A 6000-nucleotide genomic window follows, 5' to 3' on the forward strand; every position below is an offset into this window, starting at 1 on the left:
GTCCAGTGTGGCTGGGCCAACAATGGGAATTGGCTTCATTCTACAAATCTAGACACACTGATACTGTTATGCTAGATCAGTGTTTCTCAAAGTGTGGTCTGCAGGCTTTCAGGGATGCTTGAGATCCTATCAAGGAGGCTGTGATGTCAAGACTGATAACAAGATAACAATAAGACCGTCTGTCTTTTTACTTCGCTCATATAGCACAGATGGCTCCATAAAAACGTGGGAAAGGAGTCAAATATCTGGCACTTTAGCAAGAACCAAGACAGTAACATGAAACTGTACTAGTAAACAATGCAGGGCGTTATTTTATCTACATCTGATTTACAAGTCCTACGGAGCAAGCAGTGCAGGAAGCATTCAAGTTATTGGTACAGGCCGGGCGCAGTGGCTCACACCTGTAATCCCAGCAGTTTGGGAGCCTGAGGCAGGTAGATCAGTTGAGGTCAGGAGTTCAAGACCAGCCTGGCAAACATGGCAAAACCCCATCTCTACTAAAAATACAAAAATTAGCTGGACATGGTGGCAGACACATGTAATCCCAGCTACTCGAGAGGCTGAGGCATGAGAATCACTAGAACCCAGGAGGCAGAGGCTGCAGTGAGCAAAGATCATGCCACTGTACTCCAGTGAGACTCTGCCTCAAAAAAAAAAGTTATTTGTATAATCCACTTTGTTATCAGATGTTGTTCAATTTCCACTGACATCTGAAACATGGAATCCTGGTGGACACATCACCTTGTGACAGCTGTGCATCCATCATTGCGGGGCAGCCATGCGCTGGTGATCAGAATCCTGCTGGGTGGTGGGAGCCGTTTTCACTAAGAACAGTAGGAAGATTCTGATGGTAACAGAGATAGTGATATTAGACCGCAGAGCATGCTTCAGAGACAGAGAACCAAGGCCTAGCTCCCTGAGCCAGCCTCATGCCTGGGGCATCTGCACATAACCCAGACCTAAAGTTGCCAGTGCACTTATCTCCTTTAAATCATGATGTTAACTTGCACTACTTTTACCAGGCCGGTTCCAGGGTTTTAAACTCCACAAAAATAAATCAGGATCAGAAAATCCTGTTCAGAGGAATATACATAAATGTCTGATAACAGGATCTACACCAGAGTTCCAGTTGCTCAGAGTGGCCACACTGTTCTTCCACAATCCAGATTCCAAATATCTATTAATACATTTACACTTAAATATTTACATATGACTAGTGCCTACTTTATTGGACGGCTCAGTTCCACAGTCTCCAAAGACAGGCCTTACATCAGTTCCAAATTTCTTATATTAACCCACCAGATGATTCCTCTGACCTTGGCCTAGGCACTGATTTCCATCACTGGGCAATGTTTTTCTCTTTCTGTATCTTAAATGGAGCATGTATTTCATTATATACCCTAGCTTGTGTTCCCCCAAAACTGAGCCTAAGACAATATCTTATGTGAAGCTAGTTTCTTTGAGAATGTAATCATAGAAAAGAGGAATGTGAAATAAACAGGGGTGAAGCTAGGCAAAAGGAAAAATCAATATATACAAAGAATATGTTACTAAGTAGGCAACCAGGAAGGGTGACTGGAACTTGATCCCCAGGATCTCAGCTGACAGAGAACTATGTCACAGAAGGGTTTCCCCTAGAAATGAAAGAGGAAAGCATTATCTACCAGTTCATGTCCTCCATTGGTGGAGTGTGGCCACTAGATGCTAACACTGAACTTCAAGCTTGCATATCCACAAGTGCATTACAGATTCCTACAGACAGCTCACGCTGGGGCATCAGAGGCCCTCAGGTGAGGAAAGAAGAGGCAGAACTCTAGGCAATGTGTGTGAGTGGTCCACATAGCCATGGTAGAAAACAAGAGCAAGATCCAGAAGATTTGGAGAGTGCCTAAGAGGCACCCAGTACCATCCACACACAAGTCCCAAGAAAGTCCCAGGACAGTGCAGTTGGATGACTCACAGCCTCCTGCCACCAGAGAAGGGAGCCAGTGGGAAAGACTAAGGTACCTGGGGAAGTGGGACTCGCCTTCAGAAGCCACTCAATGTATCCTCTCTAAAACTGAGGCCAGACTTACCAGCACACCCAACACTGCTCATGAGAAAACAAAGCTTCTCTGAAAGAGGCTTAACGTTCAGGCGCTGAGTGTGTTTGACTAAACAGGAATAACAGGGTTGGGGTAAAACGAGAATTTCAATAAGCTGATGGCAGAGAAGCTTTTGTTGGGGTGAATGAGGCAAGAGTTAGAGAAGGGCAGGAGAGAGCCCGCCCAGGGAAGGGACACAGGAAATCAGAAAGGAATTTCCTCTAGAACCAAGGTGCAGAATCGAGGAAGAAAATGAGGGAGACCAGGATTCATAGAGGAGCTTCCTTCCTCTGGGGAGGAAAATCCCAGGTGGAGCAGCAGGGTCTAGCCGAAGCCCCCAGGGTCTGTGGCTCCTGAGAGGTGGATTTGCTGAGGAGAGAAACCTGGACCCAACACTGAAAAAGAGCTAATGTGATGACAGAGCCCAGAGTTTAGGCATGGCAGTGGCCCTGGCCCATCCCAGAGGGAAGTGGCCGGTCAAACAAATGCTAGCAGAGAGGGAAGGACATGGGTGTGGAAGGGAGGGTAAGCCTCTTCTCCTTCATGAATTATCAGCTCACACCTCTTCTCAGCTCACACCAGGAGGCCTGGCACAGGACAGTGAATCATGCCCAAGAAACTGCCTTGTGGCTTCCTGCCTTCCTCCCTCCCTCCCTATCTTTCCTCTTTTCTTTTCTCTTTTCTTTTCTTTTCCTTTCCTTCCCCTCCCCTTCCTTTCTTCCTTCCTTTCTTTCTTTCTTTCCTTCTCTCTCTCTCTCTTTCTTTCTTTCTTTCCTTTCTTCTTTATCTATCTCTGTTTCTTTCTCACTTCCTTTCTCCCTTCCATGAACCTACAGCTCTATTCAGGAGAACAATGACTGTCCATTGACTTAACACCCATGATAACCAGGCACTGTGTGACGCTGAAGTAGAACAAGGGGCTTTCAGAACCTGGTGGAAGGAGCTGGGCATCAGGTTCAAGGGAGTAACACAGTCGTGGAACATTGGGAAAGGAGGAGCTATTCACATGCCTGAGATGTAAGGATGTCTGGATTTTCCAAGGGCCGCGTCTAGTAAGAGAGTGTGTATTGAGGGCAACTCTGAGTTAGTGACTTGAGGTTCATCCTGTAGTGATCAGAGGAAATGGCTGGTGTATGAACCTAGGGAATCAGCACGCTCCTCTTCCTATGTCACTCCTGGAGAAGAAAGATACCACAAGAGGCAGGGTCTTCAGGGCTGAGCCACAATGTCACACAGATCCAGTCAATCCTGCCTGTCCATCTCAATGACATCTACTATCCCTGATCAACACGGCACCTTAAGGCGCCCTTCACAGTGAAAGCAACTTATTTCCAAAGCAGGCATTTTGCCTTCCATTGCTCCTCCCAGGTCCAAATCCAGTAAGAGACTGAAAATCAGATGATTCACTTATTCTGCACCATCCCCATGGCCTCGCAGAACCAGAAATGCCTATTGTTATTTCCATGTCCACTTCAACCATGAGGAAGCCCAATAGGACTAATCTGGCTAAAGATTAGGGCCCAGGCCAAGAGGCCTGGCTCGTTCTAGTCCTAGGAGCATGGTACTTCCTCCTAATTTAATCCATTGCCATTCAAGAAGACCTTTGCCCACAGCAACCACACCACAAAGGGTGGACAGTGAGTCAGGCCCAGGTGACATCACTGTCAGAGCTTAAGTGACAAAAAATGTTAAGCCAGAGATACTTATCACAAAAGCTGGAATGAAGTTAGAGCAGTCTTTTAAAAAATCCAATTTTCTTAAGGCAGGGCTCATTTTCTATATAAATACCAGCTAACAAGAGACTCTTCACCAGATCCCAGAGGCTGAACACCTCGACCTTCTCTGCACAGCAGGTGAGTCTCCGCATTAGGAACACCTTAATATTCTCCAATAGTTTCTTTATTTTGATTGAGATCTCTTTGCTATGCAATGAATATATTTATTTTAAATGCAATAACGACTTTTGTTTAAGGTGACCTTATACATATTTTGACTTTCCACTCAGATTACAGGTGTGGAACTTAGGATCAGAAAAGGGGAGTGATTTCTGTAAAGGCTTGCTAAGTTAGCAAGACAATATACCCACTTCAAGAGCACTCTCCTGTCAACATGTATTGAAAATTTTTAATATAGAAGGCACTACATTGGCAATTTTGATGATCAAAAGATAAGTTTTTCTTTATTGCATGAATGTATAATCCATTAGAAAACATATACTTGACTAAAATTTGCAAACATACAGCATGGGGAGTGATTAGCAGAGAGGGAAAGCAAGTATCATGCTGTGGCAAAACGAGGAAGGTGAGAGCATCAGGAAGGACAGCCATGAGAGGTGGGCATGTGTGGGGAGGCAGCGATGATGTGGAGAGCCTGCCAGAGAGCATGTGCAGCAGGCACAGTGTGAACAGAGGCTCCCAGGTGGATTGTGGGAGCCTTAGGGGGAAGTTTAGATAAGAGTTCTCCTGGGAGAACTATCGCACTCTATAAGGAGGACATGAGTGAGTAGATTCTAGACTGCTGACCTTAAAATCTTTCCAACTTATGGAAAAACTGAGGTGTCACATCAATCTTCAGCCAATGACACACAGCCAAGAGTGGTATTAAAAGTGATTTAATCAGGGAAGAGCAAGAAACATGCATTTCTTTTCACTCAATTCCTCAGATGATCCCTGAGCAGCTGAAGACCAGAAAAGCCACTAAGACTTTCTGCTTAATTCAGGAGCTTAGAGGATTCTTCAAAGAGTGTGTAAGCGAAAGCTTCAGAGTATATATTTGCATATTTGTATGTGTTTTCATGTTGTACGTAGGTTTTTAGATGTACCAGGAAGAAAAGAAGCATAAAGAAAGGCTCCATTTACACGATGTGGAAGAAATCAACTTTACCTTATTCTCTGGAAGATAAGTGGGGATCACCAAAGCATCCCATGATCTCAAATTCAGGGAAAAAGAAAGAAAAGAGAGGCTCTCAGTTCTGAAGGAGAATGAAATGACAGATATTTGTCATTAAACTGGGCTTCATTCCTACTTAATCAAAGCACTGAATTAGCTGTTTTGTCTCTAGGTCCAGCATCCTTTGAAGCATGAGTTCTTACCAGCAGAAGCAGACCTTTACCCCACCACCTCAGCTTCAACAGCAGCAGGTGAAACAACCCAGCCAGCCTCCACCTCAGGAAATATTTGTTCCCACAACCAAGGAGCCATGCCACTCAAAGGTTCCACAACCTGGAAACACAAAGATTCCAGAGCCAGGCTGTACCAAGGTCCCTGAGCCAGGCTGTACCAAGGTCCCTGAGCCAGGCTGTACCAAGGTCCCTGAGCCAGGTTGTACCAAGGTCCCTGAGCCAGGCTGTACCAAGGTCCCTGAGCCAGGTTGTACCAAGGTCCCTGAGCCAGGCTACACCAAGGTCCCTGAACCAGGCAGCATCAAGGTCCCTGACCAAGGCTTCATCAAGTTTCCTGAGCCAGGTGCCATCAAAGTTCCTGAGCAAGGATACACCAAAGTTCCTGTGCCAGGCTACACAAAGCTACCAGAGCCATGTCCTTCAACGGTCACTCCAGGCCCAGCTCAGCAGAAGACCAAGCAGAAGTAATTTGGTGCACAGACAAGCCCTTGAGAAGCCAACCACCAGATGCTGGACACCCTCTTCCCATCTGTTTCTGTGTCTTAATTGTCTGTAGACCTTGTAATCAGCACATTGTCACCCCAAGCCATAGTCTCTCTCTTATTTGTATCCTAAAAATACGTACTATAAAGCTTTTGTTCACACACACTCTGAAGAATCCTGTAAGCCCCTGAATTAAGCAGAAAGTCTTCATGGCTTTTCTGGTCTTCGGCTGCTCAGGGTTCATCTGAAGATTCGAATGAAAAGAAATGCATGTTTCCTGCTCTTCCCTCATTAAATTGCTTTTAATTCCA

The 6000-nt window shown here is 45.4% G+C and overlaps 1 protein-coding gene across 2 annotated transcripts; it reads left to right on the plus strand.

Moving 5' to 3' along the window:
- The first annotated feature begins 3892 nt into the window (after window positions 1-3892).
- On the plus strand, window positions 3893-6000 carry SPRR3 (small proline rich protein 3). Of its 2 annotated transcripts, NM_005416.3 has the most exons (3): window positions 3893-3937; window positions 4747-4830; window positions 5146-6000. In NM_005416.3, the coding sequence occupies exon 3, from the start codon at window positions 5165-5167 to the stop codon at window positions 5672-5674; it is 510 nt and encodes a 169-aa protein (NP_005407.1). In that variant the 5' UTR covers window positions 3893-3937; window positions 4747-4830; window positions 5146-5164; the 3' UTR covers window positions 5675-6000. The 2 variants fall into 2 exon arrangements, with proteins under 2 accessions (NP_005407.1, NP_001091058.1); NM_001097589.2 differs by lacking the exon at window positions 4747-4830.

Source organism: Homo sapiens, chromosome 1 (assembly GCF_000001405.40).
Source record: "Homo sapiens chromosome 1, GRCh38.p14 Primary Assembly".
NCBI lineage: Eukaryota > Metazoa > Chordata > Mammalia > Primates > Hominidae > Homo > Homo sapiens.